Source organism: Homo sapiens, chromosome 11 (genome assembly GCF_000001405.40).
Source record: "Homo sapiens chromosome 11, GRCh38.p14 Primary Assembly".
In the NCBI taxonomy this organism is placed as follows: Eukaryota; Metazoa; Chordata; class Mammalia; order Primates; family Hominidae; genus Homo; species Homo sapiens.
Genome location: NC_000011.10, coordinates 15,060,734 through 15,084,994, shown reverse-complemented (window position 1 = coordinate 15,084,994; position 24,261 = coordinate 15,060,734). Strand labels below are relative to the sequence as shown.

Sequence of the window (24,261 nt, the reverse complement as noted above, 5' to 3'; positions counted from 1 at the left end):
ATGGAGTTAAGGCACATATAAATAAAAGCTTGGTGTAGTTGCACATGGGGGAAGCTGTTTTTGAGGATAAAAAAGAAAGAAATTATAAAGGAAAATATTAATACATTTGATTGCCAAAAATTTAAATTAAAAATTTGTAAATTTAAATTAATGCTAAGCTATGAGGATGCAAGGCATAGAATGATATAAAGGACTCTGGGGACTTAGGGGAAAGTGCAGAAGGGGGGTTGGGAAAAAAGACTACGCATTGGGTGCACTGTACACTGCTCGGGTGATGGGTGCACCAAAATCTTAGAAATTATACCTAAAGAACTTATCCACGTAACCAAACACCGCCAGTTCCACAAAAACTATTGAAATAATAATAATTAAAATATATATATATTTAAAATTGAAATCATGCACAGAATTAAAATGTAAATCAAAGACAGAAAATTGAAAACTTCTGCAATATTTGGAAATTAAGGATAGATTTCTAAAAAACCAATGTATTAAAAAAATTTCTCAAATAAATTAGAAAAGATTTTGACTTGAATAAAAATTAAAATGTAACATAACAAAATTTATAGTTAAAACAATGCTTTGAAGGAAATTTATAACTTTAAATACTTATATTAAGGGAAAGAAAGAAAGGTTTCAAATCAACAACCTAAGCTTTCCCCCTAAGAAAATGGAAAAAGACTTTTATATAATAACCAAAGAAAAAAGAAGAAAGGAATAATAATAATAAAAGCAGAAATCAATAACATTACAAAGAGAAAACAAAGAAAAGCAATGAAACCAAAAGCTTGATCTTTGTAAAGATAATTAAATAATATCCTCTAGCCAGAATGACCAAGAAAAAAAGAAAAAGAAGACAAACTACCAATATCATTAATGAAAGAGAAGGTATTACTGCAGACCCTACAGACAGTAACAATAATAAAGGAATACTATGAATAATTCTGCCCATAAAGTCATCAACTTAGATAAAAATGAATCTATCCCTTGAAAGGCATAAACTACCAAAACTCACTCAGGAAGGAAAACCTAAATGGTATTATAAAAATGGTCCTATATATGCTTTAAATACATTTAATATATAGTTGAAAACTTTTCTACAAGGAAAATCCAGGCCCAGGAGGCTTAACTGGTAAATTATTACAAACATTTAAGGAAGAAGTAATACCAATTCTAAAAAATATCTTCCTGAAAACAAGAGAAGAGAATACTTCCCAACTAATTTTATGAGGCTAGCACTACCCTAACACCCTAAAAGCAAAAATATTAAAAGCACAAACTAATGCTCTCCTTGAACATAAACTCAAAATATTCTTCCACAAATTTATTAGCAAGTAGATTTCTGCAGTATATAAAAAGAATAATACATCACAACCAAGGGGAGTTTGTCCTGAAAATGCAAGGCTGTTTCAACATTTTTAAATCAATTAATTTACCATATTAACAAACCAAAGAAAAAAAATATGACTATATAAATAGATGCATGGAAAACACTTGGAAATTTTTCCTTTTTTTCTTTTTTTAACTTTAAAGTTCAGGGGTACAAGTGCAGGATGTGCAGGTTTGTTACATAGATAACTGTGTGTCATGGGGGTTTGTTGTATAGATTATTTCATCACTTGGGTATTAAACCTAGTATCCATTAGTTATTTTTCCTGATTCTCTCTATCCTCCCACCTTCCACCCTCCAATAAGCCCCAGTGTGTGTTGTTCCCCTCTGTGTGTCCATGTATTCTCATCATTTAGCTTCCACAAAAGTTCTCATATTAATCCATAATGATAAAAAAAACACTCTCAGCAAATTAGATATCAAAGGGAATGTTCTTAACCTGATGAAGAGCATCTATTAAAAAATTTATACTTAATATGTTTAATGTTGAAAGACTGTATTATTTATTGCTATGTAACAAACTACCCCAAAGCTTAGTGGCTTAAAACAACGATTTTTTTTTGGTCATAGTTTCTGTGGGTTAGGAATTTAGAAATGACTTAGCTGGGTGGTGCTTGTTCAAGGTCTCTCATGAGGCTGCAGGCAGGGTATCCACTGGGGCTACAGTCATATGAAGGCTTAACTGGCACCAACGAAGCTGATTGCAACCCCACTTTGCTCACACATGGCTATTGTCAGGACGCCTCAGTTCCATGCTATGTAGGCCTCTCACAGGTGCTTGAATGTCTTCACAAGTCATCTGACTTCCCCCAGAGTAAGTAACCCAAGAAAGAAAGCAAGGAGGATATTATAATACCTTATATGCTGCTCTAAGCACATGTCACATACCATCTCCTCTGTCACATTCTATTGTTAGAAGCAAATCAGTCAATAGAATTTACACTTAAGGGAAGGGGATGTTGACTCCCAATTTTAAAGGAAGTAGTACCAAAGAATGTATGGACTTTTCTTTAATATCACCACAACGATTGAGTAGGATGTCTGCACTTATTACTCCAATTCAACATCATACTGGAAGTTATAGCCAGAGTAATATGTCAAGAAAAAGAAATGAAAGATAAGCTGATGTAAAAGGGAGAACTCAAACTAACTCTACTAGAAGAAAAAGTAACTGTCTACATAGAAAACCCTGAAAGAAACAACAACAAAAAAAACCTCATAGAATGAATAATTGAGTTTAGCAAGGTCACAGAATACAATGTTAATATTTTAAATATTGTATTTCTATCTACTAGCAATGAACAATTAAAAACAAAAATGTTTAAGTACCATTTACATTAGCACCAAAAAATAAAATAGTTAAAAATCTAACAAGATATGTGTAGAATATTTCTGTTGAAAACTGAGAACACTGTTAAAAAAAAAAAAACAGAGAAAACCTAAATAAGTGAAAACATGTATTGTGTTCATGAATTGAACGACTTAATATTATTAATATGCTAATTCTCCCAAAATTAACCCACTGATTTAACACAATCCCATTAAAAATCTCATCAGAAATTTTGTAGATAGTAACACACTGATTCTAAAATGTATAAAAGATGTAGAAAATATTTTAGATGTAGCTAAAATCTTTTTGAACAAGAATGAACAATGTTGGTAGACCCACATTACCTGGTTTTGAGATTCACTTTAACACTACACTAATCAAGGCAGTATGACATTGGCAAAAGAATGGTCAAATCAATCAATGAGACAGAATTGAGAACCCAGAAATATACCCACACAAATATGATCAGTTGCTTTTTGACAAAGGTGCAGGGGCAATTAAATGGTGAAATAACAGTCTTTTTAACAAATGGCACTGAAACAATTGGGTATCTATATTCACAGGTATGAATTTCAACCTACACCTCTCACCTTATACAAAAATTAACTCAAAATAGATCACTAATCTACATATAAAATATAAAACTATAAAACTTTTACAAGAAAGTATAGAATAAGGTTATTGTGACCTTGGGACCTTAGTTAGGCAAAGAGTTCTTAGACATGAACTAAAAGCACAATACATAAAAGAAAAAAAAAGATGAATTGGATCTTATTCAAATTACAACTTTTTCTCTGTGAGAGACACTGCTAAGAAAATGAAAAAGCAATCCGCAGATTCAGGGGAAGGAAGTTTCCAAACTATATATCTGAAAACAATCTTGCATCCACAACATATAAAGAGCTCTAAAAACTCAACACTAATAAAGCAAGCAAGCCAACAAAAATTTAGCAGAAGATTTAAACAGACCCTTCAATAAAGGTGATAAACATATGGTAAAATAGATGCTCAACGTCATTAGTCATTGGGGAAATACAAATTAAAACAGCAATGAGATACTGCTACATACCTATTTGTGGAAATACTAGAGCTCTCATATGTGGCTGGCAAGAAGGCGAAGTGGTACAGTCACTTCAGAAAATAGTTTGGCAGTTTCTTACAGAGTTAAATACACACTTTCCAAATAACCCAGCAATCCCACTCCAAGGCATTTACCCAAAATAAATGAAAATGTATTGTATTAGTTTCCTAGGGCTGTCATAACAAATTACCACAAACTTTGTGGCTTAAAACAACAGAAATTATTCTCTCACAGTTCTGGAAGCTGGAAGTCCAAACTCTAGGTGTCAGCAGGGCTGCTCTTCTTCCAGAGACTGTTCTGTGATTCTGGCTTCTGGTAGACACAGACTTCCTTGGCTTGTGCCTCCTTGCCTCTGTCATGTCACCTTCTCCACATGTGTCTTCTGAGTGAATCTCTTATAAGGATATGTCATTGGATTTAGGACACACCTGGATAATTCAGGATGATCTCATTTTAAGATTCTTAATTACATTAGCAAAGACCCTTTTTCCAAGTAAGGTAAAAACATAGGTTCCAGTGATTAGGACATGGACACCTTTTGGGTGCCCTATTCAGCCCATTACACTCATCTTCACACAAAAATCTATCCATGAGTGTTTATAGCACCTCCATTCATAAATTCCAAATGAGAAACAACCCAAGTGTCCTTCTTTGGGTAAATTGATAAATCAACTGTGGCACAATGCAAGAATGTAATACTACACAGTAATAAAAAGAAGGAAGTAATTGATATATCCAATGACATGGATCAATCTCAAATGCCTTTTGCTGAGTAAAAGATAGACCAAAAAGCTACATGCATATGACATTCTCGGGAAGGCAAAACTATAGGGACAGAAAACAGAACAGTCATGATCAGAGGCTGAGGGTGGAAGGAGTGATTGACTGCAAAGGGGAAACATGGAAGAATTTGGGGAAGGAATAGAACTGCTTTATATCTCCATGGTGATGGTAATTGGATGACAATGTATTTTTCAAACTCATAGAATGGTATATCACAAAAAATGAACTTCTCTATATGTAAATTTAAAATCACATGTTTACTATGAAATACTAGGGCTGGGACTTTGCAAACCAACTTTTCCTCTGTCAGCTGAACCCCCTTTAGGCTCTGCTAATTGAAGGTCCTAAGAGGAGACAAGAGGCATCTGGAATAAAAAGAAACAGGTTCCTTCCAATTTCGACTTCTATTTCTGCTGGCATCACCCACAGAGATGCTCTACCCTGTCAGTGAGGTTGTTTCCAGTTTTAACTTTTGTTTTGTTTTTCCCTACTTCTAGAATAGCCTCAGAGATACAAGAGATACCCCCTCAGAGATACCAGCATCTGCCAGCTTCCCATCTTTGTGGTCTGAGAATCCTCCTGCAGGCTCTAGATCCTACTTACCTCCCTTCTTCTCTTTATTCCCATAGCCCCGAGGATGGTGGCCTCTTCCTATGGTTTCTATCTCTGAACTACCCTTTTCTTTCGCTTTGTCACTACACTAATACTGATTTAGCCAACTCCTTTTTAAAATTATTTCTGTTAAAATTACTCAGGTAGTTCCTGTTTTCCTGACTAGAGATTGACTAATAAAAAGCCAGTGTTTCCTATGCCCTACAAAGTACTACACGATCTGTCTTCGCCTTCATCTACTCTCTGGCCTCATCCCCTATTTCTTTTCCCAATCACTCACTCTAGATCCGATTGCTGATTCACAGGACTTAACTGTTAAACCTCACCACAGGGATGCAGAATGTAGAACTCTTTATTGGATAAATAACTTAGTCTCTCCAACAAATAAACAGCAAGGGGGAAAATAGATGAGGGAGGAACCTCTAATTTGTAAGAGCCTTAAATTAAAACTTATTATTAACCAGCAGCAATGTGAAGATTCAATTTGAGCCCTGGTTTCACATATATATAAATATATGTAAATTCTCCATCTTATCATTTATATTACATGATACATAGAGAATTTGAACCATGGCTGATGTGTAATATTAAAGAATTTTAAAATTATTGTAAATTTATTTTAGTTGTTAAATGAAATTGTGATTATATTTTAAAAGCCCTTCCCATTTGGAAATACGTGATGAAATATTTACTTATGGATATATTGACATGATAATACACTGGAGGAAGGGATATAGATGATATACAGACATAACAACAGTGGCAACTGATCATTTTTGAGGCCAAGAAATGGGTACAAAAAATTCATTATATTCTGTAAAGACTAGGTTGTTTTTATGTTTAAAATTTGTTATGCATCTCCAAAATCTGAGGGTCTACCTTATCAGGCAGCTAGGCCAAAGAATGGCTCACAAGTCTCTGAAAAACATCAGGAGCCACTGTAGAAAGGCCTATAGTGCAGTGATTTCCACTGTAAGCCCTGGAACCCAATACCTGGGTCTACCTCTATCTATCTGTGTGTGACCTTGGACTTCTCCCTGCCTCTGTTTCCTCAGAGGTGAAGGGACATGAATAATAGCATCTACTTCATGGTTTTGTCATGAAGATTAAATGAATTCACAGGTGTAAAGCACTGTTTTAAAATAATATCTGGCCCATACATAGTAAGCACTCAAAAATATTTATTATTATCATCATCATCATCATTATTATTACATAAGAAAACAAGTTGTAATGCATCACCAAGGTTTTGAAACAAATGTACCCAAAATATGCTTTTAATCTTGATGAAGTTCACAAATGGCACAATATTGACATTTTCTTAAACAAATTATACAATCATGTTCTTAGATAACAAGGCACAGCATCACCATTACCATGTGTCCTCGGAGACCACAACAGGCAGTGATTTCACGTCCCCCTAAGGTTTGGTGGAGCTGCATGATCAACAGGATGGCTCCGAAAGAACCAGTTTGCTACCAGATAAGTCAATGAGAGATGCCATCACTTTTACTGGACATAGAATTAAATATAAAAATGATGCACAGCAAATATGGAATTAGCTTATTTTGCATTCAGTTTCATTCCTTTCAAGTGACAAAGGTGCCCTTTTTTCAGTATCTTAGGATGCAAACATGTGTATCTTCCACGGGGCATTCTCACCAAGTTCTTACCAACAGAAATTAATAGAAATGGTGAGTTCAGTTTCATGATAACCTGAGATTAGGGGAAAAAAAGAAGAGGAGGGAGAAGAAGGGGAGGACAAAGGAGAGAAAAAGGAAGAAGATGAAAAGGAGAAGGAAGAGAAAAAAAGAAGTAGAAGACAAGTCATGAATAATCACAATTATTACTGAAAAAATACTAATTTACAGAAGTGTTTCTTTAAACAGCATTTATGAATTATGGTTATGAGAGGTAAGCAGGCTTGTAAGGCAAATGAAGACTAAAATAATTCAACTGCATCTATTAATCTTGGTAGTAGGTTATGATTACAGCTTATCCACCTGAATCTGTAGTCAAGGGTTGAGCCCTTTCTGAAACCAGCCTAATGAATGAAGACTGGCCCTGGTTAAGGTTTGCAGACCTCTCCCTTTCTGAATCCAGCAAGCTTTTTATTTTCTTTCCATTTCCCTTATCAGAAAAATGACACTACATCTCTGATGTCATTCTGACATCATGCTAGGTTCTAGAAAGAACTCACTGCCTCAGGAGGAACAATGTAACTGGACAGAAGGAACCTAAAGAACCTACCAGAGCAGAGGTTTTCAAAATGTAGGTTTTAACTCCAAGTCCCTTCCCCCTCTTATCCCATAGCATTAGGGTAGTTACCTTCTTCCTGGAGTCATTCATCTGCTCAGGCTTGAAGGTCCCTGCGGCGCCTGCCAAAGGCTTTGGAACCCACATTGGTGGGCACGAAGTTGCTCTTCACCATGCCCCCTGATCTGCTCAGCAAGCCTGCCAGCCGATGAGTCACACAGGTGGCAGTGTTGCAGGCTCTCTTCTGGGCAGCGGAGCTGATTTGCAAGATAGAGAAAGAAGAGAAGACCTGTGAGTGAAAAGCTGGGGGAGGAGCCTTCATGAAGAGAACTGCAACACTTCGACACACCACCTAACAGTAAGTGTTTCTCGAAAATGCAATTATCAAAGCTGTTAGGGGAAATGGCCTGGCAGTCTTCACCAGGAGCTCTGCCCAAAGACCATCATGAAAAGAAAGAAGAAAAAACAATTCCAAGCCACGGGGCACAGGCTGAAACCCTGCACTTACCATTCAAGGAGGAAGTGGGCAACGAGGCCCAGACCCACCCCAAGATACACGAGGAGTATACAGAGACCATACCCCAGCCACAAGCACCAACACTACCCATTACCACAGGAAAATGAAATTCCCTAAAGTCTTCAGAAGAAGCTCAGAGAACAGGGTTTGCAGCATCCTCTCCCAGAAGTACTTACCAGCTCCTTCACACACTGTTCTTGCTGCTTGAGCTGGGTCATAGTGATGACCCACCAAGCCCCATACCCAGCTACCCTGAAGCTAAGGCTACTTCTGAGCATAGGCACTGGACACCCTCAAGTCTGGATGTGGACCAGAGCAATGAGCACCGCAGCTCAGTTCCTTTTAGAAAAATAGATTGATTCATCTAATGCCAAGGCATTAAGGACGTGCTTATTTTATCGTAGTACATTTAGAAGCAGAAATTGGATGCCTCTGTCATAACACCCTCTACAGTCTCAAGAAGCTTCCCTTATTTTCTTTTATCTCTAATGTGTTCAGTAAGTCCTGCTGTCTTCCCTTCCATCCTGAGGTCTTCAAAACATTCTCTGTCATAAGCAAAAATACCAATACCAGCATGAAGACAAATCAGAGAGGAATCCACATGCATCAGGTTCATAAAGTGGAGCAAGAAGGGGAATCAGGAGAGTTGAGAGAAGTTCAGCTGCCATCTGGGGGACCCTGGAGTCGGGTAGTGGTCCCTCTGCAAGCTGTTGACTATGTCCCTATTCTTGCCAGGAATTTCAGGCCCGAAGTTGATGCCAGGGAACATATGAAAGTTTTTCAGGTACTGCAAGTATGTGCCCTGCAAGCAGGTACTCAGATTACTATACGCTACTTAAATCTAGGACTGCTCAAGCTGCAAGGGAAGGACATGCCAGACAGTACCATGCACTAGGGACTGTCCCCATGGGCAGTCACTCAGAAGGTTGGACCAGGCAGGGGACATGTCGAGTGGGAGCAGGTGGGGCAGGCAGGAGGGCAGCTCACACACACTCCATTAGGAGAGGTGAGAGGGTCAGTGGGCCAGGGCAGTGTAGAGAAGGGCTGAATGAGGAAGGATGATCTTTTCTGGTATTCCCATGATGTTCAGCCCTTCATGCTCAACAGAGAGGTTCTCGGGGTGAATGTAGGTGTGACACATGCCTCTGCCCAGCAGTGCTGGGAGCAGGCCAGGGGTTGGTCTCTGCTCAGGCTCAACATGCACAAGGATGTGGGTCTGGGAAACGGTGCTCTCCCTGGCCTCATGACAACATGCACATCTCCACAGAGCTTGCACATCTAAAGGCTCAAACCTACCTCAGACACTGCTCTGTCCCCACCCCCTGCAAGGGCTTCATCTTCACCTTGCAAATGTGAAATGAAGGCTTCTTGCAGGTATGAAAGAATGGCATGCACATGTGAAATTTCTAAAACTTTCTGAGATATTGGGTCTATTCCTGACTTCACCCTTACCAGTCTTAACTCATCCAATGCTAGGAGATCTCCCAGTACTGCAAGAGCAATTTCCACAGTGAACGATTCCACACCTCCCCATTTCATTTTCTATCAGTTTTCACAAATTGAGTTTTTTCTATGTCTAGAAAAAGCTTCTACATCTATGTTCTAACAGCTTTCAGAAACGGAGCTTTTTATTGTGTCTAACCACACACAGTCCCTCCAGGTGCACTGGGACCTCTGTCTCCCTTGGAACTTGAGAAAGGGAGCCTGCTGGACAAATCAGCTTGCTGGACCCCTTGCCAGTGTGTTCTCTCCTGCCTCTTGGGATCCACCTTCCTGTGTATGCTGCGGGGAGAGGAGTCCCTGTGCTGGGCGCTTGGGGAACCTCACCTGGAGCCCTGTGTCTCCTGCTCCTGCTTCAGCTCACTGGCCTTCATCTGCACATAGTCCTGCACCAGTGCAGCCAGCAGGAGGCGCGCGTCCTCTTTACTGAGTGTGGCCGGGTCTGGGCTGCTCTCCAGGGCAGACCTGTGGAAGGGAAGCAAACTCCTTGCAGGCTGTGAGCCCCTGACTGACCCTCCCCAGGATAGGCAGCCAGGCTTCCTGGTCTCTGCTTCTTCCCCTGGGGATGTGGCCACCGCGACTCCCAGGGGACGGGCATGAGGCCAGGGTCCACCTGTGGGCACTGATTCACCAGGAGCCACGCGTGACTTCAGAGGCACAGAGCTGTCTGGTCCTAGGGGCAGTGGGAGCAGAAGGCGCCTCTGGCTCCAGGCTGTCTCACCTGAATGGCGCCGCCTGGAGGCTGCCCGCCTGGTACAGGACCAAGATACTGAGAGCCAGGAAGGGGGAGAACTTCCGGAAACCCATGCCGCCTCTCTGTAAAGGAAGGATGACGTTACTACTGCACCAGCACAGATCTAGGTTCCAGTCCTGCCTCTGCCACAACTGCCATGTGACCTTAGGCACGTTACTTCAGCTGCCTGAGCCTCTGTTCCCTTCATTTGCAGGAAGGGCTGCTGTGAATCTCAAGAGACACATTGCAGTGAGTGAATGGCTTGATAGAGCGGAAAAAGGTGTCCTAGGGGAAGGGTGGAGAGAAAGGATGAATTTTGGTTCTGTTTTGTTGAAGGCCAGGGAGAAGCCACACGCGCCCGTGCACACAAACAGACACTTCTGCCCTGATTTATGCCTAAACCAGGCGTGGACGCACCTTGCTGTAGACCTGCTCTCCCCTTCTCGCCTTCTCCTCTGCTGGGCTTCGCGCCAACGCATGCGAGGGGAAGGTGGGAAGGGTGGATTGGAAAGGAGCGCTCATTTCTCAGTCTTGGAACTGGGAAAAATTTTTAACGTGCCAGTTACGGGTGTCTCAGGACTCGCCCGCAAAGCCAGCCCTCTGCCGGAGCGCGTTTTAGCAGCAGATGCTGAGCAGCAGCTCCGCGAGGTGAGCGCCCAGGGTTCTAGTCCGCTAACAACACTGCCTTAGATCCGGACCGGAATCCCGGGAAGGCTCACCAGGGAGGCGCCTCAGAGGAAAGCTCAGGGTTCCGACCTCCCGGGAACGAAACATGCTCCCGAAGGACAAAGACGGCGCAGGGCGCTCCCGGACCCAACTCTGCAGAATCCTGCGCTCAGCCAGGCCCCAACGCCAGGGCTGCAGACCCGCCTACCTCCGCTCGCTGCGCTTCCAGCGCCCACGCTGAGCCATGGGGATGCTTGGGCTCCTCTCGCACTGGTAGGAGAAACTGCCAGGACAACCCTAACCGCTCGCCTTCTACGGGGCCTGGAAGAGAGCTAGGACCACCGCTGTAAGGTAGGACCAGATGGCGGCGGAGAGGCAGACAGGCAGATGGAGCAAACTGGATGAACTAGTCGAAGAAGCAGGTTATTCGAGTGAGCGGAATGGGGAATGGGAAGTTCCTCACCTGGCGACTAGAGTTTCAGGGCAGCGCGAGCGGCCGGTCGACCCGGGATGAACACCACACCTGCTGTGGGCGCCTTCCCCGCGGAGACCCCGCTCTTATTACAGAGATAGCTGGAGGGGGGGGGTCCCCACCAGCCCGCGCGGCCAATCCAAAGTGGCCAGGACTAGCCAATCAAAGGACCGACCGAGCTCCGATTGCGTCATAGCTCGCACTGCCGGCACTGGTACTCTGGAGCGGGGGCAGTCCGCCCCGCTGTCATTTTTTTCATTGAGGTCATTGCTTGGGAAGCTGGAGAGCCTGGGAGAGGACAGAGATTTTTCAACTAAGAGTCGGGGCAAGTCGAGGAGAGTTTGGCGTCACCTACAGTGAGGGGCCAGAGCTGCTCTCACCTCCTTGGCTCCTAAATTCCTGCCTCGCACTCCCTCCTGTCACGCCAGTGAGGGACCCGAATCCAGCCACCCGAACCCCCAGCGAGGTTGAGCAGTAGTAGTCCTGGGTTCTAAAGGGACCACAGCTGAAAGAGCCCACGGCAGGGAAGGAGGGGGGGGGAGGGAAAAGGGGAGGGAGGGGTCCTCAAAATTTGATCTTTTTGGACCACCTGGGGTGCTTCCCTGGATATCCTCCGACCCCTCGAGCCCTGGCAACCTGGGCACCCAAAGAAGGCTGTTTTGGTGCCAGTCTGGCAGCCAGCCCTTCTCCACCTCACTCCTCTGGGACGGGCAGGAGCCGAAGAGAGGTTGGGGAGAGGGCTAAACTGACATAGCCTGCATACAAGGCTCAGCATCCACCTCCTCCCTCTTCCCCTATATCCCCAAATCCTCGACCGCGGGTCCAGCATCCCCCACGCCAAGCCAGGACCCTCCACTGCTGCGCCGAAGTTGGCTTACACAGCTGCCCTGCAACTCTGCCACCTGTTTGCCAAGCTGCCTGGCGGAGATGGTCTATGCCCGGGTCTCTATCTCTCTCGTTCCACACCCCTACCCCACTTCGCTGAAGCGCCTGAGAGCTGAGCGCGCTGGGGTCCAGCTGCCACCCACGGAGGGGAGCAGGTGCTGCAGCGCGAGAGTCAGCCTGAGAATTTTCACACAAGTTCCACTCGCGACTACAGACCAGCCAGTGCGCGCATCATCACTCACATGGCAGGACCCCCACCACACGCTCTGCCTTCTGCATTCACAGACAGTCCATCAGACAGCCAGCACTCACTGGAACAGATGCGCCCTCACCAGCTGCTCCGAAAAGGGAGCGTGCGCAGGAACCCAAACTAACCACACCCATACCCGAAAGCAACCCCGTGTGTTTCTGTTTCCAAAAACAGGCGTGTTTTATGCAATTGGGGGTACATACTGTCCCCTAAACATGCACACCGACACATGCACGTCCACGCACACAAACTCGGCCTATCCATCTTTTCTGAAGGAAAGCCGGGTTCTGGGAGTCGGCACTGCCAGCTCTTCTTGCTCCCGGGTTCCAGGAGAAGATCCCAGCTTTGGCAGAATAGGCTAGGAAGGAGCTGGGGGTAGGGGCGATGGCAAGAAAGAAAGGGGCGCCTCTCACCACAGCCCCCAGCCCCGGGCCTCCGGTTCGCTCTCTGACGCTTGGCAGCAGCGACCCTAAATAAGTCCGCCGGCGCCCACTGCACTCCTGGAGAGCATTCGGGAAAACTTGCTGGAGGCTGCCGGGCAGGAAGCAAAGCCAGAGGCTGGCGGAACCCCTGCAGGTGATGCTCACTGTTTCTGCGGGTCAGAAAAAAGTTCAGGGGATATCTGTCTAGGCCCTCTGGGTCCTTTTCTTGTGGCAGGACCCAGCTGGTGGGACTAGGGCGGGTTGGCCTCCAGCACCCGTGCAATGGAAACTCCAGGTAACACCCACGAAGAATCGGGACCGCTGACTCGGGTGACTGCCGCCCGGCCTGCAACTCAGATGCGCAGCGTGCACTGAGGCAGGGTGACCTGCAGTCGCCCCCTCCCCTGGGAAGGCAGTCAGAACTGTTCTAGAAGTAGCTCCGGCCTGTGGCGGACTCGAAGTAAGGCAGGAGGACTTCCAGGACCTTTGTAGTACCACACCAGGAACTGCAGCTCTCTAAGGAGTATTTCTATGTATGCGAAGGTTCTCTACGTCTAGACTGTTGGATGCGCTTTTGTGTTTTTGGTTCTGCTTTGTTTTTTAATTTTTAATTTGTGTAAGTTCATACTAGGTGTATACATTTATGGGGTTCATGAGATGTTTTGATACAAGCATACAATGTAATAATCACATCATGGAGAATAGGGTATTTGTCCCCTCAAGCATGTATCCTTTGTGTTACAAACAATCCAATTACACTGTTTTAGTTATTTTTAAATGTACAATTAAGTTATTATTGACTATAGTCACCCTGTTGTGCTAGCAAATGGTAGGTCTTATTCATTCAATTTTTTTTGTACCCTTTAACCATTCCCATCTCCACCATCACCACCCATTACCCTTCTCAGCCTCTGATAACCATCTCTACTCTCTAGGTCCATGAGTTCAACTGTTTAGATTTTTAGATGGTGGGCTCGCTTTTGGAAACAATGAGGGACACCAAGGCGGCCTTCACTTGGGAGCCCTTTTTCCAAAAACCCTGCAATTCTAGGGGAGACTTCTGTGTCCCTCTCCCTGATTCCAGCCCAGATAAATGGCTGCCTAGTGGACAGGCAAAGTTTGGAGGTGCTACCTGCATGAGGGTTGTGCCCTCTGCCCCACTTCTTCCTCGGCCACTACCACCCTCTCTGAGGTCTGGCAGAACTGGTAGCCCAGTAGTTCTGGGAAGCACCACTCTTCGCAGGGCCCTTGGGCCAGCCTGGCAGGAGAGGAAAGGAAGCTGAGTAGGAAAGAAAATCTGGAAGACCCCAGAACTTGGAGTGGCGGGCTCCCCAGCCTGTCTATGTTATCAGTGGTGCACAAGGCCCAGGAAGCAAGCTGGGAGCTCAAGAGGAGTCATAATTGGTGTTTGGCCTCCCAAGAAGCCCAGAAATATTATCTGAAGGGAAATTTGAACCTTTGGAACTGGCACTCAAAAGCTGGCACTATCTCCAAAGGCCAGGTCTGTGTCACTAGGACTTTTCTGAAGTATTTGGACAGATGGCCATACTGCTATTGTTGTGGGAAGTCAGGGACCCTGAACGGAGGGACCAGCTGAAGCCATGGCAAAAGAACATAAATTCTGAAGATTTCATGGACATTTATTAGTTCCCCCAATTAATACTTTTATAATTTCTTACGCCTGTCTTTACTGCAATCTCTGAACATAAATTTTGAAGATTTCATGGACATTTATCACTTCCCCAATCAATACTCTTGTGATTTCCTATGCCTGTCTTTACTTTAATTTCTTCATCCTGTCATCTTCGTAAGCTGAGGATGTATGTCACCTCAGGACCCTGTGATGATTGCATTAACTGCACAAATTGTTCGTAGGCATGTGTGTTTAAACAATATGAAATCTGGGCACCTTGAAAAAAGAACAGGATAACAGCGATGTTCAGGGAACAAGGGAGATAACCATTAGGTTTGGCTGCCTGAGAGCCAGGTGGAACAGAGCCATATTTCTCTTCTTTCAAAAGCAAATAGGAGAAATACTGCTGAATTTCTTTTCTCAGCAAGGAACAGCCCTGAGGAAGAGAATGCATTCCCAGGGGTAGGTCTCTAAAATGGCCACTCTGGGAACGTCTGTCTTTTATGGTTGAAGATAAGGGATGAAATAAGCCTCGGTCTCCCGTAGCGTTCCCAGGCCTATTAGGACAAGGAAATTCCCACCTCGCAAATTTTTAGTTAGACCGATTGTCTGCTTTCAAACCCTGTCTCCTGATAAGATGTTATCAATGACAATGCGTGCCCAAAACTTCATTAGCAATTTTAATTTCACCCTGGTCCTGTGATCTTGCCCTGCCTCCATTTGCCTTGTAATATTTTATTACCTTGTGAAGCATGTGATCTCTGTGACCCACACCCTATTCGTACACTCCCTCCCCTTTGAAAATCACTAATAAAAACTTGCTGGTTTTGCGGCTTGGGGGGCATCACGGAACCTGCTGACATGTGATGTGTGCCCCGGATACCCAGCTTTAAAATTTCTCTCTTTTGTACTCTTTCCCTTTATTTCTCAGACCGTCCAACACTTAGGGAAATAGAAAAGAACCTACATGAAATAACATTGAATTATTTGGGGTGGGTTCTCCTGATATCTGGCCCACCAACATGGTTTTTTCTTTTTCCCAAGTGCATGTGGGAACCCGATTCCCTTTGGTAGGTGCAGAGAAACGTCATCGGTTTGGTCCACAGAAATGCTTGTTCGACTCCCTGACGACTGGTGAGTAGTCTGTGTATGGTCCAGGTTAACTATGGGTCACACGGAGTCTAAAAATTATACTTATCTCTTCTATATTAAACTCCGGTTAAAACAGGGAAAGGTTCAAGTGCCCATGGAAAATATGGTCACTCTATTCAGGGCAGTGGGAAAATACTGTCCTTGGTTTCCTGAAAAAGGAAGCTTAGATGTAGACCTGTTAAAACCAGCAAAGGTTCAAGTGCCTATGGAAAATATGGTCACTCTATTCAGGGCGGTGGAAAAATACTGTCCTTGGTTTCCTGAAAAAGGAAACATATATGTAAAAGTATAGGATCTTGTTGGTACAACACTCCAGGAACTTGTCTCAACAGAGAATTATGTTCCCATCACTGTTTGGGGTGATTGGGCCTTGGTACATGCCGTCCTAATACCTCCTCAACTTTCCTCTCCTGCACAGCTTTCATTATCTGATCAGCCTCTCCGTTTGCCTGTTCCTCTCCCATTTAATGATGCTGAGACTTCAATATCTAACTCCGGTGACTTTGGCTTAAATTTACCCCCTACTGATCTTACTTCTTTTCACCAAGAGCAGGTACTTGAAGCTCCCAGCCTTGACTCACACAGCCCAGGACCATAGATATGCTAATTCTTCTCTCTTCAAACCTCTGGCATCAGCTAATGGCTCCAGGACCAACCTATAATTTACCTATAATTCTCCAGGCCCTCCCCCAACCACTGCAGCCCCTCACCCTCCTGTCATTTCGGTTCCTCAACCAGTCACTTGGCCATCCACCCAGCCTGCTTCTCTGTACCCTTCTTCACACATGGATGCCAGTAATCTCTGCCTCTTCTGCTCCTTCAATGCCCCTTTCTCACACCGTCATTCCCGTCTGTGTCATTATGTACCTTGTAATCTTATCTTTTTAAAAGAACTTAAGGATGCTTGTACTCAGTATGGTCCTACTTCTCCTTATGTTAAAATGGTATTACAAACTTTTTGTACACAGGTCACTTTGCTTCCTTTAGACTAGGATCTTTTGGCAAAAAGCTGTTCTGACCCCATCTCAGCCTGGTGGGCAGAGGAGGCCGGTCTACAGGCTCAGCTAAATTGGACTAATGGCATTCTAATTACTCAGGCTCAGCTCACAGGCTCCAATAGTTTCTCTGATACTTATGCCCAATTAGGCTTTGATGCTCTTACCACAAAACAAGGAACAAAGGTGTGTATGAGAGCTTAGGATAAATTATGCGCCCCAGGCCAAGCTCCTGTTTCTTTTACTACTGCTAAATAAGTTCAATTGCTTTTACTACCTAATATCATTTTAAACAAAGGAGATAAGACACGTGGCCCTGGGATAGGCTCTGGAGAAAGCTGCTTATTGGATTAATGTAATTTCTAAACAACGGCCCACCTGCACCATACACATTCAAGTAAAAAAGTTTGAGGGCCTAGTAGATACTGGGGCTTAAATTAATATTCCACATAACTCTTATAGTGCTCCCAAGTCAGCATATGATGGAAAACATGGGGTTTGTTCCTGGACTCAGTCTCGGTCCAAAACATGAAGGGATTACTAAACCCCTCCCAGTTACTGTAAAAGAAAACAGGGCGGGTTTAGGTTATCGTTTTTAACGGTGGCCACTGCCACGCCTCCTGATCCTATCCCTTTACAATAGAAATCTGACACACCATTTGGATTCAGCAGTGGCTGCTTTCTAAAGAAAAACTGGAGGCTTTAACTCACTTGGTTTCTGAACAGTTACAACTTGGAAATGTGGAACCTTCTCTTTCCCCATGGAATTCTCCTGTGTTTCTAGTAAAAAAGAAATCAGGCAAGTGGCGGATGGTAACCGATTTAAGGGCCATTAATGCTGTAATTAAACCTATGGGGGCCGTCCAACCTGGCATGCCTGCCCCTGCTTTAATACCTAAAAATTGGCCTCTCATAGTTATTGATCTTAAAGATTGTTTTTTCATATTCCTTTACATAAATCAGATTGTGAAAAATTTGCTTTTACTGTACCATCTATCAATAATCAGGAGCCTGCAGCTTGTTATCAATGGAAAGTACTTCCTCACGGAATGCTAAATAGCCCTATAATCTGCCAGCTTTATGTTGGGCAAGTGCATTCAACAGTTCGAGCCCAATTTCCCCAGGCCTATATTCTTCGTTATATTGATGATATTTTAATTGCTGCCCCCAATGATAAAGAATTAATTGACTGTTATCAAATTATGAGCCGCCGTGTTACAGAGGATAGATTACACATCGCTCAGGATAAAATTCAACAGACCACTCCTGTTCAATATTTAGGAATGGTGGTCAATAGACAATGTATTCAACTTCAAAAAGTTCAAATGAGGAGAGATTCTTTGAAAACTTAAAATGACTTCCAACAACTTTTGGGTAACATTAATTATTTAAGACCTAGTTTAGGCATTCCAACCTATGCACTGTCTAATTTGTTTTCTACGCTGCGGGGAGATTCCAATCTCCACAGTCCCAGGACTTTGACTCCTGAGGCTTCACTAAACTGGAATTCGCAGAGGAAAGAATCCAGACCACCCAGTTATCTACAGTACAGCCATCTCAGCCTTTTCAGCTTCTAGTTTTCGCTTCATTTCTTTCCCCTACTGGGCTAATAGTTCAACATAATGATTTAGTAGACTGGTGCTTTCTTCCTCATTCTGTGTCAAAAACTTTGTCTGTTTATCTGGACCAAATGGCCATTTTAATTGGACAGGCATGGTGTAGAATACTTAAAATTTCCAGATTTGATCCGAATTTAATTGTAGTTCCTTTAAATCGGCTCAAAGTTCAAATCGCCTTTCAACATTCCGTGCTATGGCAAGTTCACTTGATTAATTTTATTGGTGTTATTGACAATCATTATCCAAAAAACAAACTGTTTGATTTTATAAAAATGACTTCTTGGGTGGTCCCTCGATTGACCAAAGATCAGCCCATTCCTGAGGCTGTTACAGTGTTCACTGATGGCTTCAGCAAGGTAAATGCTGGTTATATAGGTCCTACAAACAAGCTTATTTCTACCCCTTATACCTCTGCTCAAAAGGCAGAGTTAAGTGCTGTTATTACTGCCTTACAAGATTTCCCCAAACCTTTAAATATTGTCTCTGATTCTACTTAACATGGGAAAGAGGACATGCTTGTGTTTCACCAGGAGATCATCAAATGAAAACCACAGGGAAAAGATGTCCGCGTCAGAGACCACCCTCAGATGTGGTGAGATCTGTGCCAACTCCTCAGAAGCTGGCACGCCAAATCAAAATGGATCTGATTCAATCCTCCCTGTTGGCAATGGAGACCCATCTAACTAATCCCACTTCTAATTACCTTTCTTTTTCTGCTCACAAACCTAAAAATCTCACCGTTTCTGTGAGCCTGAAAATAACATCCCTCTGTTCTTCTCTTCTTCCTTCTGCACTGAATCTCACCTACAATAGGTTTTATTTAATGATTCTCCTCCTTATACTTTCTGTCTCACCAGTTTCCTCTCACACTGATTTATCTGCTACACAAAATTATTCTTACTGGGCTTATGTGTCTTTTCCTCCACTTATTTGACCTCTCACCTGGATGGGTGCTCCTGCAGAAATCTACACTAAAGATAGTGTGTGGATGCCTGGAGCTACAGATGATCATTGCCCTGCTCAACCAGGAGAAGAAGGCACTGCATTTAATGTTATCATGAGTTATAAATACTGCCCTCTGTGCCTCAGACATGCACCTGGTTATATCCATCTAGAAACTCAAGTCTGGGCTGCTTAACTTCCGGAGAGATCAGCTACAGAGGAACCGGGACATTTGGTCTCCAGCCTCTCCCTTTCTCCTTTAAAACAAATGAAAGGGGAAGTAATGGGAGATACCCCATACTTTCAATATAAACCTGCAGGAAAACCATGCCCTAAAAATTTTGAGGGCCCATCTAAAACTTTAGTTTGAGAAGATTGTGTTAACTCACATGCAGTAATATTAAAAAATGACTCATATGGTTTAGTAATAGACTGGGCACCAAAGGCTATTCAAAAAAAAATTGCTCCTCTGGCGGAAGGGAATGCCTGGAGGCTGCTTATTTTATTTCTTATTGGGAGAACGAGAATCATCATTCTACTTTGCATAGGATGTTCAGTTCATTCTTTCCCTTAAAATGGGAAGATAAAGGCATTACGCACCCCCCTACCCCCTGAGACCTCGTGTGATACTCTCCATTCTGAGCTCAGAACATCCAGAACTTTGGAAATTGGCTATTGTGACTTTGGAAATTGGACTGCGAGTATGGGAAGGGGAAACTATTCTGTCTGTTGTCTCCGATACCGTCCCTCTCCCTCAGTATCAATGTAGATCCAGACATTCCATTTTACTTACATCCAACCTGACTGTTCCCATACAGAGTTGTGTTAAGCCTCCTTACATGCTGTTAGTGGGAAATATCAAAATTTGGACAAACAATCAAACTGTCCAATGCATTAATTGTCATTTATACACTTGAAATAACTCCTATTTTGACTCCTGGAAAAGTGTAATGTTGGTTCAAGCTCAAGAAGGAATCTGGATTCCGGTAAGTTTGCCCAGACCTTGGGAATCCTCCCCCTCAATACATTTAATTAATGAAGTGTTACAGCGAATTATAAAAAGATCTAAGAGATTTGTTTTCACTTTAATCGCTGTGATCATGGGCCTAATTATAGTCACTGCACTGGCCACCACTGCCGGAATGGCGTTACACCAATCTATTCAAACGGCTGATGTTGTTAATGATTGGCAAACCAATTCCACCCAAATGTGGAATTCTCAACAAGGCATTGATCAAAAATTGGCTAATCAAATTAATGATTTAAGACAGTCTGTTATTTGGCTTGGAGATTGGGTGGTGAGTCTCAAACATTGCATGCAAATGCAGTGCAATTGGAATACTTCAGATTTCTGTATCACCCCGTATTCCTATAACTAGACTGATCATTCATGGGAAATGGTCAAAGGACACCTCCTAGGTAGGGAAGATAATTTATCACTGGACATAACTAAATTAAAGAAACAAACTTTTGAAGCCTCTCAAGCTCATTTATCCATTGTGCCTGGAGCAGAGGCATTAGATCAGGTGGCAGAAAATCTTTCTGGATTAAACCCCACAACTTGGATTAAGTCTATTGGGGGCTCGATTGTAGCAAATTTTGGAATTATGTTTCTCTGTTTAATCAGCTTATCTTTAGTATGCCAGACCAGTCAAAGAATCCTGCGTCAAAATCGAGAGAACGAACAAGCCTTCATTGCCATGGCACATTTATATAAAAAGAAAGGGAGAGATGTTGCAGGAAGTCAGAGACCCCAAACGGAGGGACCGGCTGAAGCCATGGCAAAAGAACATAAATTCTGAAGATTTTATGGACATTTATTAGTTCCCCAAATTAATACTTTTACAATTTCTTGCACCTGTCTTTACTGCAATCTCTGAACGTAAATTTTGAAGATTTCATGGACATTTATCACTTCTCCAATCAATACTCTTGTGATTTCCTATACCTGTCTTTACTTTAATTTCTTAATCCCGTCACCTTCGTAAGCTGAGGATGTATGTCACCTCAGGACCCTGTGATGATTGCATTAACTGCATGAATTGTTCATAAGCATGTGTGTTTAAACAATATGAAATCTGGGCACCTTGAAAAAAGAACAGGATAACAGCGATGTTCAGGGAACAAGGGAGATAACCGTTAGGTCTGGCTGCCTAAGAGCCGGGCAGAACAGAGCCATATTTCTCTTCTTTCAAAAGCAAATAGGAGAAATACTGCTGAATTTCTTTTCTCAGCAAGGAACAGCCCTGAGAAAGAGAATGCATTCCCAGGTGTAAGTCTCTAAAATGGCCGCTCTGGGAATGTCTGTCTTTTACGGTTGAAGATAAGGGATGAAATAAGCTTTGGTCTCCCGTAGCATTCCCAGGCCTATTAGGACGAGGAAATTCCCACCTAGTAAATTTTTAGTCAGACCGGTTGTCTGCTTTCAAATCCTGTCTCCTGATAAGTTGTTATCAATGACAATGCGTGCCCAAAACTTCATTAGCAATTTTAATTTCGCCCTGGTCCTGTGATCTCACCCTGCCTCCATTTGCCTTGTAATATTTTATTACCTTGTGAAGCATGTGAACTCTGTGACCCACACCCTATTCGTACACTCCCTCCCCTTTGAAAATCACTAATAAAAACTTGCTGGTTTTGTGGCTGCTGACATGTGATGTCTCCCCCGGATACCCAGCTTTAAAATTTCTCTCTTTTGTACTCTTTCCCTTTATTTCTCAGACTGGTCGTCACTTAGGGAAATAGAAAAGAACCTACATGAAATAACATTGAATTATCGGGGGCAGGTTCCCCCGATATGCCATAGCATGGCACAATTCCCAGACTAGGCCCTCTGCTTCACAGGCACGCATTGGGTGTCCCACAACCCAGCACCCAGCTCCTGCCTGGGGCAGATTAGGCAGTAGTTTCTGTTAAGGCTGCCAAGACTGGAATCCCCGCACGCTGCTCTGTGACGAGTGCTTACCAGACACCAAGGGAAGTTTAACAACCTAAACACAAACACACCCCATTAGTCACGTTTGTTGTCTTCTTGAGTGTCTCTATGGGACTAGCTATTTTAGCTTTGCGCACCCAGGATTATTTGACCTAGTCTTGTTCCTCCACTAGCGTCTTTGCACAGTGTTTGGCACATAATAGGTTCCTGCAAATGCTCAATGAGGCAGAAAGAGCAAGGCAGTGAATGAACAATTCATGGGTTCATTACCCTAAAAGTCAGACAATAAGTTCACCCAAGTTAAATTGGGATGTAGACACAATTTAGATCTGTTAGATGGAAGGGAAGATTGTGTTTATCCAAAGATGCACCCTTTTTATTTTAATAAAAGTTATCAGTGTCTTGGTGAAAAATTTCTGGAATCAAATGTGAGAGGAAGTACTGAGGGCTTTATGTCTTCAGGAGTCTGCCAGTTTGCAAAGCAAAACAAGGCAGTTTCCCTCAGTCCATCTTTGTATGATATTAGTGAGTGAATGGGAGGAAAAGTTAATAAAATAATTTATTTTTTAAATTGAGAAAATTGCATCTTGATTTCCCTGGAACTGTTCTGAGCCTCAAGGCCTCTCCAACCAACCAAACGACCATAAAGATTTATAGACAATAGTCTCCTAGGAATATCTAGCTATTAAATTGTGTCTTAAATATTTTGATACTCAGTTTAAATAAACTTATAGTATTACTCATAAAGTATGAAAATGGTAGTCTTAACATTTTGGGAACAGATTCCACTTACTATAATTTTGAAGTTTATTTTTATTTGTTTGGCTTACTTTCTGATTTCTTTACAAATTTCCTAGAAGAAGTGGTTCTTAGGAGAAAGTTTCATTCATTCAACATGCATTTATTGAGGACCTACTATGTGCCAGGCATTGTTCTAGGCACTAGGATTCACAGTGTACAAAACAAAAACTCCTGCCTTCCCTGTGCTTATATTTCAGTGATGTACTTACTTAACAAGAATCCTTGTATATCACCCCTCCCTGCAAATAGAACACATCCTACCCTAATCACATGCTGTCAATGTAGTAACATCATCTATTTGTTTGTCAAAAATATATTCAGGGTTTACATTATTAAGATTATATACATATTATTCCTAGCTGAGACATATTGTGTCCTTTGATTACATTTCCTTGCATATATGTTTTATTTTGAGTTAGTAACTCCCTCTCTTTTCATGTGCTTAATTATCTTTCTGCCCATCACTTGTTTATCCCTCTTCCTGGATCCTATTTGTTCCTCATACATGGTTTACTCTCTCACTTTGGTGGAGCATATTTGCCATTATATGATTGGTAGCTTTTCTGGGAAGAATTCTAGGTTGGAAATCATTTTCACTTAAAATTTTGAAAGCATTTTCTGCTGTCTTCTATTTCCAGTGTCACTGTTGAGAAACCCATTTTATCTTTTCTTTTGTTGTTGTTGTTGTTATTATTATTATAAGATCTATCTCTTTCTCTCTTCTCACTGGTGTTCTAAAATTTTATGATGATGTGCCTTGGTGTGGACTGTTTTTATTGATTGTTCTGAGTACTGGAGGACTACTTGCAATCTGAAATTTCATATCCTTCACTACAGGGAAGGTTTTTTGCCTTGTTTCTTTGATAATTTTCTTCTCTCTCTCTTTCTGTCTCTGTCTCTGTCTCTCTCTCTCTCTCTCCCCCTCTGTTCAACTTTCTGGGAGGGTTTTTTTTCAAGTGTATATATTTTTTTCATTCTTTTGGTCATATTTTTAATTTCTAAAAGCTATTTTATTCTAAGAATGTTACTTTTTATAGCCTCCTGTTTTTATTTGTGGGGTGCAGCATCCTCTCCTAGCTCTCTGAAGATATTAAATATATGTTTCTTATTTTATTCTTTTCACATTATAGGCTATTCTTACATTTCTAGTTATCCTGGGCTGCTGACTTATATTTAAGAAAGAGGTAGGCTGGGCGTCGTGGCTCACGCCTGTAATCCCAGCACTTTGGGAGGCTGAGGCAGACGGATCATGAGGTCAGGAGATTGAGACCATCCTGGCTAACACGG

General features: G+C 42.7%; 1 protein-coding gene across 1 annotated transcript, besides 2 other annotated features; it reads right to left on the bottom strand.

Annotated features, from left to right (window-relative positions):
- Positions 1-6,357: 6,357 nt before the first annotated feature.
- On the bottom strand, positions 6,358-11,402 carry CALCB (calcitonin related polypeptide beta). The gene is made up of 5 exons (NM_000728.4): positions 11,332-11,402; positions 10,191-10,285; positions 9,797-9,934; positions 7,525-7,709; positions 6,358-6,912 (listed from the first exon to the last, which is right to left on the bottom strand). The coding sequence occupies exons 2-4, from the start codon at positions 10,274-10,276 to the stop codon at positions 7,550-7,552; spliced, it is 384 nt and encodes a 127-aa protein (NP_000719.1). The 5' UTR covers positions 10,277-10,285; positions 11,332-11,402; the 3' UTR covers positions 6,358-6,912; positions 7,525-7,549.
- Positions 9,907-9,956: a silencer, noted in NCBI's record as "silent region_3176". NCBI's record gives its function as "represses an Ori minimal core promoter by ATAC-STARR-seq in GM12878 lymphoblastoid cells {active_cell/tissue: GM12878}" and the evidence as "EXISTENCE:reporter gene assay evidence [ECO:0000049][PMID:35858748]".
- Positions 9,999-10,500: an enhancer, noted in NCBI's record as "H3K4me1 hESC enhancer chr11:15096041-15096542 (GRCh37/hg19 assembly coordinates)". NCBI's record gives its function as "activates a minimal SCP1, AML or CMV promoter by ChIP-STARR-seq in naive H9 embryonic stem cells {active_cell/tissue: H9 hESC(naive)}" and the evidence as "EXISTENCE:reporter gene assay evidence [ECO:0000049][PMID:30033119]".
- Positions 11,403-24,261: the final 12,859 nt, after the last annotated feature.

Coding starts and splice junctions, on each gene's coding strand:
- CALCB (NM_000728.4), bottom strand. CDS start 10,276: ATGGGTTTCCGGAAGTTCTCCCCCTTCCTGGCTCTCAGTATCTTGGTC. Junction 9,935..10,190: donor CTCCAGGCGGCGCCATTCAG/GTGAGACAGCCT, acceptor TCCCTTCCACAG/GTCTGCCCTGGAGAGCAGCC. Junction 7,710..9,796: donor CAGGAGACACAGGGCTCCAG/GTGAGGTTCCCC, acceptor CTTGCAAATCAG/CTCCGCTGCCCAGAAGAGAG.